General features: G+C 42.5%; 1 long non-coding RNA gene across 1 annotated transcript in view; it reads left to right on the top strand.

Moving 5' to 3' along the window:
- Positions 1-10,765, top strand: part of LINC01885 (long intergenic non-protein coding RNA 1885) — a 159,884-nt gene extending 149,119 nt beyond the window's left edge. The window contains exons 4-6 of the long non-coding RNA NR_183423.1: positions 6,589-6,710; positions 7,719-8,006; positions 9,440-10,765. This is a non-coding gene — a long non-coding RNA (long intergenic non-protein coding RNA 1885). The remainder of the gene's footprint in view (positions 1-6,588; positions 6,711-7,718; positions 8,007-9,439) is intronic.
- Positions 10,766-13,072: the final 2,307 nt, after the last annotated feature.

Below are 13,072 nucleotides of genomic sequence, written 5' to 3'. Positions count from 1 at the left end.
TCACTAACTTCACGAATGAAGCCGCAGACCCTCGCAGTGAGTGTCACAGTTCTTAAAAGCAGTGTGTCCGGAGTTTTTCCTTCTGGTGGGTTCCTGGTCTCGCTGGCTCAGGAGTGAAGCTGCAGACCTTCGCAGTGAGTGTTACAGCTCATAAAAGCAGTGTGCATCCAAAGAGTGAGCAGCAAGATTTATTGCAAAGAGCGAAAGAACAAGGCTTCCACAGTGCTGAACGGGACCAGACCGGGTTGCACTGTTGACTCGGGCAGCCTGCTTTTATTCTCTTATCTGGCCCCACCCACATCCTGCTGATTGGTCCATTTTACAGAGAGCTGATTGGTCCGTTTTGACAGGGTGCTGATTGGTGCGTTTACAATCCCTGAGCTAGACACAAAAGTTCTCCACCTCCCCACTACATTAGCTAGATACAGAGTGTGGACACAAAAGTTCTCCTCCTCCCCACTAGATTAGCTAGATACAGAGTGTGGATTGGTGCATTCACAAACTCTGAGCTAGACACAGGGTGCTGATTGGTGTGTTTACAATACCTGAGCTAGACATAAATGTTCTCCAAGTCCCCACCAGACTAGATACAGAATGTGGATTGGTGCATTCACAAACCCTGAGCTAGACACAGGGTGCCGATTGGTGTATTTGCAATCCCTTAGCTAGACATAAAGGTTCTCCAAGTCCCCACCAGACTCAGGAGCCCAGCTGGCTTCACTCAGTGGATCTCACACAGGGGCCGCAGGTGGAGCTGCCTGCCAGTCCCGCGCGCCGTGGGCCCGCACTCCTCAGCCCTTGGGCGGTGGATGGGACCGGGTGCCGCGGAGCAGGGGGCGGCGCTCCTCGGGGAGGCTCAGGCCATGCAGGAGCCCACGGCGGGGTAGCCGCGGGGTGGGGGACTCAGGCATGGTGGGCTGCAGGTCCTGAGCCCTGCCCAGCGGGGAGGCAGCTAAGGCCCGGTGAGAAATTGAGTGCAGCGCCGGTGGGCCAGCACTGCTGGGGATCCCAGAGCACCGCAGCTGCTGGCGAAGATGCTAAGCCCCTCACAGCTTGGGGCGGCAGGGCCGGCAGGCTGCTCCGAGTGCAGGGCCTGCCAAGCCCGTGCCTACCCCGAACTGCAGCTGGCCCACAAGCGCAGCGTGCAGCCCTGGTTCCTGCTGGTGCCTCTCTCTCCACACCTGCCCGCAAGCGGAGGGAGCCAGCTCGGGCCTTCGCCATCAAAGGAAGGGGCTCCCACAGTGCAGCGGCGGGCTGAAGGGCTCCTCAAGCATGGCCAGAGTGGGCGCCAAGGCCGAGGAAGTGCCGAGAGTGAGCGAGGGCTGCCAGCACACTGTCACCTCTCACTTATCATATGTACTTACCATAAATGGAGCTAGCAGTACTAGAAGTTGCTGTGGGTAAGGCAGTGAGTGAGTGGTGAGTGAATGTGAAGGCCTAGGACATTACTGCACACTACTGTGGACTTTGTAAATACTGTATACTTAGGCTATGCTAAATTTATTTTAAAACAATTTTACTTTCTTCAATTATAAATTGGCTGTCACTTTGTGTAATTTTTTTACCTTACAAAATTTTATCTTTTTTTAGCTTTTGAACACTTTTGTAATAACACTTAGCTTAAAACACAAACATGCTGTGCAATTATACAAAATACTTTTTTATTTTCTTTTCGTTTGTTTGTTTTGTTTTGTTTTGTGACGGAGTCTTTCTCTGTCGCCCAGGCTGAAGGGCAGTGGTGCTATCTCTGCTCACTGCAAACTCCACCTTCTGGTTCAAGCAATTCTCCTGCCTCAGCCTCCCAAGTAGCTGGGACTACAGGCGCATGCCGCCATGCCCAGCTAATTTTTTGTATTTTAGTAGAGATGGGGTTTCACCATGTTGGTCAGGATGGTCTGGATCTCCTGACCTCGTGATTCACCCACCTCAGCCTCCCAAAGTGCTGAGATTACAGGTGTGAGCCACTGCGCCCGGCCCAAAATACTTTTTTCTTTAATATCTTGATTCTATAAGGTTTTTCTTATTTTTAATTTTTTTTTTTTTACTTTTCAAACTTTTTTACTTTTCAAACTTTTTTATTAACAACAAAGACAAAAATGCACACATTAACCTAGGCCTACATAGGGTCTGGATCAATAATATCAATGTTTTCCATCTCCATATCTTGTCCCACTGGAAGGTCTTCAGGGGAAATCTCCTATGATAGTAATGCCTTCCTTTGGAATATCTCCTAAGGGACCCACTTCAGGCTGTTTTATAGTTAACCTTATTGTATAGGTAGAAAGAATACACTCTAAAATAACAATAAAAAGTATAGTAGAGTAAAAACATAAGCCAGTAACACAACCGTTTATTATCATTATCAAGTATTATGTGCTATGCATAATTATATGTGCTAGACTTTTATATAACTGGCAGTACAGTAGGCTTGTTTACACCAGCATCGCCACAATCACATGAGTAATGCATTGCACTATTATGGCATGATGGTTATGATATCACTAGGCCATAGGAATTTTTCAGCTCCATTATAATCTTATGGGACCACAAACTTATAGGTAATTCCTGGTTGACTTAAATGTTGTCATGCGTTGCATGACTGTAATTCCCAATGAAAAGAACCAATGCTCCTTGGAAAATGACAGATTCTAGGTTTGGGGTAGTAAATATACAAGATGAGTCTGGAATATCTTGTTGTAACTGAAGAAAAAGGGACTATCAGAGAATTCTGGGTTCAGATGCACACAGGAACACTAGGGGCTCCAAGTGGTCAAAGCTGGAGCAATCTGAGCATTAAAAAGAACAGTGATGTGATGAATTGAAACACATCAGGTGTGCCAAAATCCATGAGATCTTAATGAAAGTAAATGAACACAGTCTCTCCAGTTAACTAGGGAGGTTGTTAGGCTATCACTCTATTCTGAAAATTGGCACATAATGTAAAAGAATCAAGAATTTTTCTTGCCTTTCCTATATGACTGTGCGTCAGAGTAAAAGAATATATGAGGAGAAGAATTCCAATCGATCAATGAGGAAGAATAGGCAGAACATCATTTTGCAAACTCAAGTACAAATAATAGACCTATATAGCAATCATCAGCAGCTGAAAACACCATTAGATGAAAGTTTGATGAGAATTCTATGGAAGATAGATCAGGCTGTTAACCCATTAACCCACTGATCAACTTAACATCATGAAGAACATCCTGTGCTTTTTTTTTTTATTACTATTTTTTTATACAGAGTCTTGCCTTGTTGCCTAGGCTGGAGTGCAATGGCACAAGCTTGGTTCACTGCAACCTCCGCCTCCTGTGTTCAAGTGATTCTCCTGCCTCAGCCTCCCGAGCTGGGATTACAGGCATTTGCCACCACGCCCGGCTAGTTTTTTTTTTTTATTTTTAGTAGAGACGGAGTTTCACCATGTTGGCCAGGCTGGTTTTGAACTCCTGACCTCAGGTGATCCACCTGCCTTGGCCTCCCAAAGTGCTGGGATTACAAGTGTGAGCTATGGCGCCCGGCCCATCCTGCGCTTCTTGATGGTATGCTATGGGAAATACACATAGCATTACCAATGAAATATTTTTAAGAAAAGAAAAAGGAACCTGAATCTCTGAATCTGAATCTGACAAAGTTTCTGGAACCTAAGCAGCAGTTTCAAGGAAGTGAAAGGTTTAAAGACTTATACAATGCAGGGATGAAATCAGAAGAATCTAGTTGTGAAAAATTCTACAAGGCCAATGGCCTAGTTTCTTCAACAAATAAATTAAAGGAAGTGGAATACTACAAAGGGCCATTAAGTCTTTTGTTTCATTGTTATGAGCTCCCCACAGTGAGTGACCAATCCTTCTGTTTGCCTAGGAGAGCCCCAGATTATCTGTTTATTCGGAATAATTACTACTGTAGCCCCTGTCACTCTCAAAAGTGTCCTGATTTGTATGATTATTGTACACAGTCACACTACCCATCAGCCTGTATCACTGTGCAAACACACAGCCAAACTATCTTACATCCAACTGTGTATATTGAATTTGTGTAAAGATTATGAGAGAGTAACAATCCTAATTAGTGTGTCCTAGTTTCCCACTGTGTTAGACAGTTTGGGTTACCATAACAAAGTACCACAGACCAGGTGGCTTAAACAAAACATTTACTGTCTCACGGTTCTAGAGGCTGGAAGTCTGAGATCAAGGTGTTGGCAGAATTGGTTCCTTCAAGGGCTGTGAGGGAAGAATCTGCTTCAGGCCTCTCTCCTAAGCTTGTAGGTACCATTCTCCCTACATCTTCACATTATCTTCCTCAATAGGAGTCCATGCCAAACTTCCCCTTTGTGTGAAGGTACTAGTCAAAGTGGATTAAGACCCACCCTAATGATCTCATTGTAACTTGATTGCCTCTGTAAAGACCACATCTCCACATTCTGGGGGAGCGGGGGTTAGGGCTTCAACATATGAAACACAAGGAGGGGGATGCAATTCAGCCCATAACAACCGCCAGGACTCCGAATGCTAGAGAAGCAATTAGGGTTTTTTGGTTTTTTATTTTTGGCAAATAATGGGGCAAATTTGAGACTTACAAAGGAGTCAGGTATAGTAGGATAAAAATCCTCAAACCTAGAAGGGAATATCACAGACTCTGGGGGAAGAGTTCAACTGGGTAAAGAACCCTATCCTGAGTTACTGGAGATAGAAGCTCCATCTTGAGACATTGATTGATCATAGGTGGGGTGGGGAAATCCAGGATTTAAATCCTGTGGCTCGTGGGTACTATTCTCAGTTCTTTCAGAGCTAATACAATCCAATGCCAAGATTGAGGCCACAGTTTATTATAGAAAGAAGTTTGTGGTGGAAAGAAGGCTCTCTCCTGTCTCACTAAGAGCAGCCTCAATAGCTATTGGGTGAGAAGCCCGCAGGCACAGGCAGCTCCAAGTATGGCATTTACAGTGGAAGAACAGACAGGGAAAAACACCAGCTGTGAATAAGTCCTGTATGGTAGAATGAGGAAGAGATGAGGCTAGAAGGGAGAGTGTAAGGACTTCCAAAAAAAAAAGCAACCCTGCTAAGGGAAGAGGCAGGGCATAGAAGATGTGAAGTCTTGTAACTTGTTTGTGTGGAGTTGTCATTCAATTCTGTTTTTGGTATTACTTACGGTTGCTTGTTTTCCCCTGCTATAATTTGACTAAGCAAGATAAGAGTTTCACAAAGAAATGCAAAAATTCTAATAAAGAAGAAAATGTATCTTTTTTAATGTGGATAATTTTATTTTATGTATTTGTCTAAGATCATTTTATGTTGCTATAACTGAATAACACAGACTGGGTAATACGTGAAGAGTAGATATTTCTTTAGTTCATGGTTCTGGAGGGTGAGAAGTCCAAGAGCGTGACACTGGCATCATGACAGGGCACAAGGCATCACATGGCAAGACAGAGCAAGCCTGTATGTCAGTTCAGGTCTCTCTTTTCTTATAAAACCACCAGTCCTGTTATGGGGTGTATTAGTCCATTCTCATGTTGCTAATAAAGACATACTAGAGACTGGGTAATTTATAAAGGAAAGAGGTTTAATGGAGTCACAGTTGCAAATGGCTGGGGAGGCCTTACAATCATGGCAGAAGATGAAGGAGGAGCAAAGGGACGTCTTACATGACAGCAGGCAAGAGAGCATGTGTAGGGGAACTCCCCTTTATAAAACCATCAGATCTCATGAGACTTATTCACTATCACGAGAACAGCAAGGGAAAGACCTGCCCCATGATTTAATTACCTCCTATGGGCTCCCTCCCACAAAAGGAGGGAATTATGGGAGCTACAATTCAACAGGACATTTGTGTGGGGAAATACCAAAACCATATTATGGGGTCTGCACCCTGATAACCTTAGCTAATACTAATGACTTCTCAAAAACTCCACTTCCAATCAACATATGAATTTGGGGATTAAATTCCCAACCCATGAAATTTGGGTGGCGTAACCAAACCACGGCAGTATTTTTATGCACATATTTTTTCTTAATCACTGGAAGATGTAATTATAATCTTCCAATTTGAAGTTCTTTCTATGGCTCTGAGCCAGACACATATTTAAACTCACTGGCAGGTATTTTAATTGCTTACACTAGTCTATTATTATTTCTATCACGTCTTAATGCTGGTAACAGACTGGTGGACTTGATGAGAAGGCAGAAAAGAAATGACTTTATCTTACTTTTATATATTGTGAGAAAATCTCATATACAATACCTTTAATCATGTTTTATCATATCCAACTGTTATAAGGATACAGTTTGCTTAAAGCCAATGGTTTAATTCCAGGAACATGGGTTCTTAATAATGGCTGTCCTTTATGAACAGATCTTCTGTGCTGACTAAAGCTTCCCACATTTGAAACAACATTGACATTGCCTCAATAGAGCAATAAATAAATAACTAGGGTGGAAGTTGGAACTAATGCACATACCTAGCAAGCTGGTAATGATCTCCCATATCAATTAGGCTTCCAAAGCTCTCTCTTTTTCTAAAACCATTTTGTGCATTCTAGGCAGCCCCCAATGTCATTCACGTGTCCAAAGGTGTCTCTCTCTTCACCCTCAGAGAAAGCAAATCAACCACCTTTCTTCGCTCATCTGACAAAGTGCCTGATTCCAGCCAGAGACTATGTAAGCCCTTGGAGTGATATCAGTCTCTATTGACTGAATGCTAACCCATGGAATTAGGTAAGGATTAAAAATTAAATACATAAAATGTTTCAAAATTGCTGAAGGAACAGCTGGATGCTGGCAAATAAACTGCTTATGTGAAGAACCTGTCAGAACCAGAAAGTGGATCCCAAACCTGGCAGTGGGTTATTTTTATCTGAAGCAGGCAGGAGATAGAGAGACACTAGGAAAGACTTCCATTAACTTATTTGCAAACACAGGAAATTGGGAGTAATGCTACTCCCATTCTCTGTTTAACTTTGAAGAAACAGAGGCTTCTAAAAGCAGGAGGTGGGTAAGGTGAAGGTACAGGTAAGTCCCCCTCAAATAGAGAGAGAAATATAGAAAATAATAGCAAGAAAGTGTTTGCCAAAACTTTTAATACAGGACTATGTCTGCTTAGAGATATTTTAAACAGTTCTTCCATTCCCAGCAATATTGACAAATGAAAGTAAAGTTTCACTCCATCTACAGAATGGAGACTATATTAGCTGTCAGCTGCCTACCAAATAGGGACATTGAGAGGATTAATGAGGATCTGGGTGCTACACTGATCGTTGCCATAGAAATGCATAGCTAAGTAGGGTTGTATAAAAGATGTGTCAAATGCAATATTTTTCAGCCCATGGCTGACAATAATGGGAAGACAGAGTGTCCCTTTGCATTAAAGGACTCAATGGATTAGCATGTCCAATGCCTCTATAGTACTCTCTCACCCTCTGTTGTGTGTGTGTGTGTGTGTGTGTGTGTGTGTAACTTTTACTGGAACCATCAGCCTGAATCTAAAAGGCCTTTAGCAGAATTGATTCAACCTGTGTCAGTGGATTTTTCATGACCTCAAGTAACCTCAGGGCTCAGCAAATGAGTGGGGTATATTCATCGCTGTCAACACAGTGTCTTCATAAGCAACATGGATTTTAAGCCTCTATTTTTTGTTTTACAGAAGTGTAGGGGGATTTTTGTCTTACCTATTCTATTGTTTTCTTTTTATGAATATAAATCTAAACACTCTTCTTTTTTTATCAGATATCCATGTGAGTCTATTCTACACATCCATAAGAAAACCTTATACCGAGGCTTACTGGTTTTAAAAGAGGAGATGTCAAACTAAAGAATGGAGAAGAATTTTCAAGGAGTGGGAAAATGCCACTACCCTGCTCAGAACCTTCACTGCAACCCAGACTGTGCCTGTATCTTAGGAGTGCAGATGATTGAGATGGTCCAAGGGTATCCGGAAGAGAGAGGAGAGGACCCAACAGCATGGATGGTGCATGCTGAGCACTTCTCAAAGGAAAACCCATGGCAGAGGATTCGGTCTGAACCTCTTACTGTAATCATACAGCATAGCTGGCAGGGGCTTGCCTTATTTACATGCCACATGGAGCTGCAGTGGCACCATGTTATTGTGTGTTTTGGGAGAGGTGGATGTGAGTGTGGGTGTGGGTGCACATGCATGGATGTATCGGACTGTGAGAAGGTATGAGCTGAGGCCTAACTGTTCACAGCAGAGGCAAAGTCCTATCATGAACAAAAAAAGTGAGATGGGTTGGAGGGACCCTACTTCAGGCCATAGGTAAGCAGGGCTGCCAACAGAAGGGAATGGAAGTGGGTGAGCATGCAGAGTTCTTTCCGCTTAGTCAAAGAAGGCAGCAGCACTAACAGCCCAACCAGTGACAAGTGCAAATTAGAAAAAGGACACTTCCACTGGGCATTTTACTCCCATCAGCTAAACATTTCCCATTGTAAGTGTTAGTCTGTTTAGGCTGTTATAACAAAAATGCCATAAATTGGGTGACTTACAAACTACAGAAATTTGTTTCTCACAGTTCTGAAGGCTGAGAATTTCAAGAACAAGGTGCCATTAGAAAGTGGGAATTGGGATTAGGCACTAATCCTCTTCAAAGGCCTCACCTCCTAATACTATCATTTTGGGGTTATTATTTCAACATATGAATTCTGTGGCCCACACACATTCAGACCACAGCAGTAAGTACACAAGTCTCTGACAATTGTGAAGGGCTGTCACTCCCAGGAACTATGCAGTGCACAATTTGTGAGACCCTAAGTGGCAGCGTGGAGTGGTAATTGCTGCTGCTGCTGTTCTATGGACCTGGCTGCTGGGGCAGGCCCCAATGTGACAGAGTCAATATGTCAAGAAGAACTAGACATCTGTTCCCATCCTTCAGCAGCAGTGGGTCATAAATGGGTTAACTGTGCTGGCCAGGACCTTCACGGGCACAAATCAGCCCTGAGCACTACTTGTCAGGCCCAACCACATGAACATTTGCAGGAATAATGAAGGCTCAGGAATTAATGACCATAGAAGATGTGTGGGCTCTATTGAATGCCTATCTTAGAAAAAAAGGAGAGTTGGAAAACTAATAAGCCAAGCATTTGTTTCAAGAACTTAGTAAAAGAAATGGCCAAATAAACCCAAGATAAGATGAGATAGGAAATAATAAAGAAGAAACTAACCCCAACAAGAAAAGTGAATTTATGGGTCAACCAAGTGTCCCGTAGAAAGACTTGTTTCTTCCTATCTCTCTGTCTCTCTCAAGCACACATGCTCAATCTGAAATAAACATACACACTCACATTCTGGAAACCTGTGTCCCTGCTTATGGGAGGAAATTTGCAATCTCTGATCTACTTCCTGAGGTTTAAATGTAGAAAAATAGAAATGTCCATAAATGTGAATGAAATTTCAGAGGCCAACTGCTTAAATTGATATCTGTTCATTCCAGCAGACGAAGCCTCATCATGGTTTTTGAGCTGCTGTGCACAGAAAGAAGACGGCACATCATTTGCCAGGCCCAGGCCGGCCAGCACAGACACATGCCTCTGCAGCACTGTAAGACATCAGTGAAGGCTGAAGCATTTTGCCATCTGGGCAGCGTGGGTGGTGTGCTTTAAGTCTGGTGCTTATGTTTCTGGAAACAGACATACAACCATCAGGTTGGCTAAACTTTCCTCATGCTTTGTATTAGAAAGGGAGAGAATAGATTACAGGAGACAATGACAATGATAAGATGATTTCTATGGGTTACTGCAATTCAACCCCTTGTAATAACACATTGATTTCAACGTTTCCCCTACACAAAGAATTCTCATATGTTGCTGATGGTAAATGATGCCCCAATATTCAGTCAATCTAGGCAAAAATAAAGTCCACTAAATGAAAGAAAATCACTCAAGCTGAATTGGCCTCATATAGAAATGGCTCAAGGGTTAAGAGAGGGAGCACATGCTAAGATAAAGATTACAGGGGAAATTGTGTTTATTTAATCAAGGCCCAGATGGGCTGAAGGCAGAAACACAGCGTCCTGATTTGCATAACTTTTTCTCTCTGAGCCATAAGCAAGGGCTTTTCCAATATCCAAGGATAACCTCTGAATTCAAACAAATCATTCTTCTGACCTATGGCCAATCTTTCAGCCTCACACAGATGTCTCCCTTTATGTATAAGGAAGGAATAATCATATCACTCAAACTCAAATGTTCACTTGGGATTAACTAATATTTAAAGTGCTCTTCTTTTAAGAGCCACGCCATGCAAAAGGGAAGTGGCTTATACATATAATACAGCAGTTTATGGAAAAAGACTCCATGGTATGGTGGAAAAAACACTTTTCTAACAGAGCAACCTGGATCCCAGTCCTGGTCTGCCACGGTTTAGCAACATGACCATGGGTAACTCACAAAAACACTGAGTCTCAGTTTCCTCATCTATGAAGCAAAACATCCTTATCTGAGGAGTTTTTCTTTGTCAAATTACTATATCACCATGACCAATGCATACATATGTATTACATATGATAGTGATACGATTATTCCTTTCATATAGATAGACAGAAGATATAGATAGAAAATAGATAATAGAAGATATTGATGGACGAAAGAAGATATAGACATGAATAGATGATAGAGGATATAGACACGTATAGTTGTGATAATGTAGCATAGTTTTTTCCCAAAATGTGATAAAATAAAGAAATGTTTGACCTAAAGACTTCCCATTTTATTGAAAAGTATGAAATATATTGAAAAATACAATAAAACTAAACTGAGCCAAAGTTGTTGCAGCAACTTTACAATTGCCTAAGTTAAAGTCGTTTTCAAATACTTAAGTGGCAATATGCACTAAAAAATAGAATCTTTGAAATACAAAATTGAAGAAATGATGCACTGAAAGTTATAAAATTATTTGTGAATTAAAAATACATAAAACAATGTAGTGAATTAATCTTTAAATGTAACATATATTTATTCACTTATTTATTTCATTGGTATTCGTGCAGCACCTACTATGTGCCAGATGTTGTTCTGGGGGTACCACAAGAGATTAAAAAGAATAAGTCCATGTGCTTTTGAGTTTGAAATCTGTAGCAAGTGGAGGTATCTGCTATGAAGCTAATGAAAGTAAAGTAAGGACATAAACAGAAGCAAGGGGGAAATATCATAGATGTTGTGGCTGTGTGCATTTGGTTGTGCCAGACCCACGTCACCTACACCCTCTTCCACATCCCAAAGGTCAGATACTGGGAACATCTGCAGCTCTCTTGGAGTCTTTCTTTCCTGTGGGAGCACAGGGCATCTTCCCAGGTGGAAGTCAAGGTCTTAGAGAGGTCATGCCCCCAGAAGTGACGTTCACCCAAGGACAGGAAGGGAGATGGAGAATAAAGCTCTAGCTTGCTCCCCTGTGGGGAAGGGGAACTCTGAGGGGTGTGCTGGGCTTCAGCTCCCCCCTTGCTTGTTAGTACACCCTGTCTTGCCTTTCTCCTCTTTCCATCTCTGCTACAGAAGCTTCCTGGGACCACCACCCACATAAAACTACTTGCCTCTCTAATCTTTGTCTGAGAGTCGGCTCCTGCAGAATCCAGAAAGGAAGCCCTCTCTGATGAGAGACTTGAGCCAAGTGAATGAGTCATACAGATACCTGGGTGATCCCAGGCGGAAACCCTGGGGTGGGTGGGTGTACAAGTCAGTATGCTGGGGACTGCCACAGACCCCTGTGGGAAATTACACGTACTGAGATAAGTATTATTTAGAAGTTGGAAGAACAATAGAGGGAGAGATCCATACATGTGTGAGGATCAGAGAACGTTGCTTGGACTGTGTAACATTTAAAATGGACATTGAAGAACATTGACAGGATAGAAAGCTATTTCAGATAGAAGGAACCCATGAGCAAAGACGTGCAGGGTGGAGTCCGTGGAACTTGTCCAAACAATAAGTAAAATGAAACAGAGAAAATACATGTTGGTTCACCTGCCCCAGCCTGCACGTACCTATTTTCACTTTACTAAAGCCTTGTTAAATAGTTTATTGAAGGCTACACTGATTGAGGCTACATAGCAAAAACTATGAGTGAAAGAAACAAAACGTTGGTTTTAAAGAAGCGCTTGCTCTAGCTGAACAAACAAGCTATGCCTGCATGGAATATGAATATGCCAACAGATACAAGACATAATGAGGACCTACTTACCTGACATGTTCCTGCAGAAGTCCAAACGAGGGAGTCACATGATGCATTAATACAAAAAGATGAGTTTTGAGTAGGTTGTTGCTTGTCAACATGTACCTATTTACCGAGGCCTTCCTGTTCTGTTCACAGATGAGGAAGCTTGGGTAGGAATCTTTGCACTGCCACCTCCTGGCCATGACCTCAGTGGTATCCATTTCTCAGTGTCTCATGTATCTCATCTGTATGTAGAGACAATCACTGTAATGCAAATACAGTGTTAACAAAACACCAGGAATTCAGTCTAGTTCTGCTGCTCACCCCACACAAAGCCAATCCCTGAGACAATGGGTATTTCCAAGGAAGAAGGCTTTAATTGGGTGCTACAGCCAAGGAGGTGGGAGATCAGTCCCACGTCCATCTTCCTGACTGACTAAAACTAGGTGGTCTGTATAGCAGGGAAAAAATGTAACCATGTGTGGGAAAATATGAATTAGGGAGGGATAAGGAAGAGGAGTTGATCAACAGAAGCAGGTGGTTGGTTAGGCAATCATGAGGGGGCGAGGGGTCTGAAATCTTATTGTCCAAATGCAGTGATCTGGTGAGTTGCAGCTCCTTGCTACTGTCTAGGAGGCCTGATGGTTGGTTTCCTGAGAAGGGAACTCAGATAAGACAAATATAACTTTCTCAAGTTTAAGACTGGGATCAGTTTCTGTTTATTCAAGGAAACCATAAACATCAGCTCTATAGGACAACTGGGTCAATTTCAACAGCATCTACCTCATAGCAGGTGCTCAATAAATGTTATTATTTCCTCTGCCTCTTCCTTCTTTTTCTCCTTTTCTTTCTCCTTCATTACCACTACCTGAATGCCTTTCCTTTCTAGAAGACACCACTTTTAGTTGTCCAGCACAGCCCA

Source organism: Homo sapiens, chromosome 2 (assembly GCF_000001405.40).
Source record: "Homo sapiens chromosome 2, GRCh38.p14 Primary Assembly".
NCBI lineage: Eukaryota > Metazoa > Chordata > Mammalia > Primates > Hominidae > Homo > Homo sapiens.
This window is presented reverse-complemented; position numbering and strand designations above follow the sequence as displayed.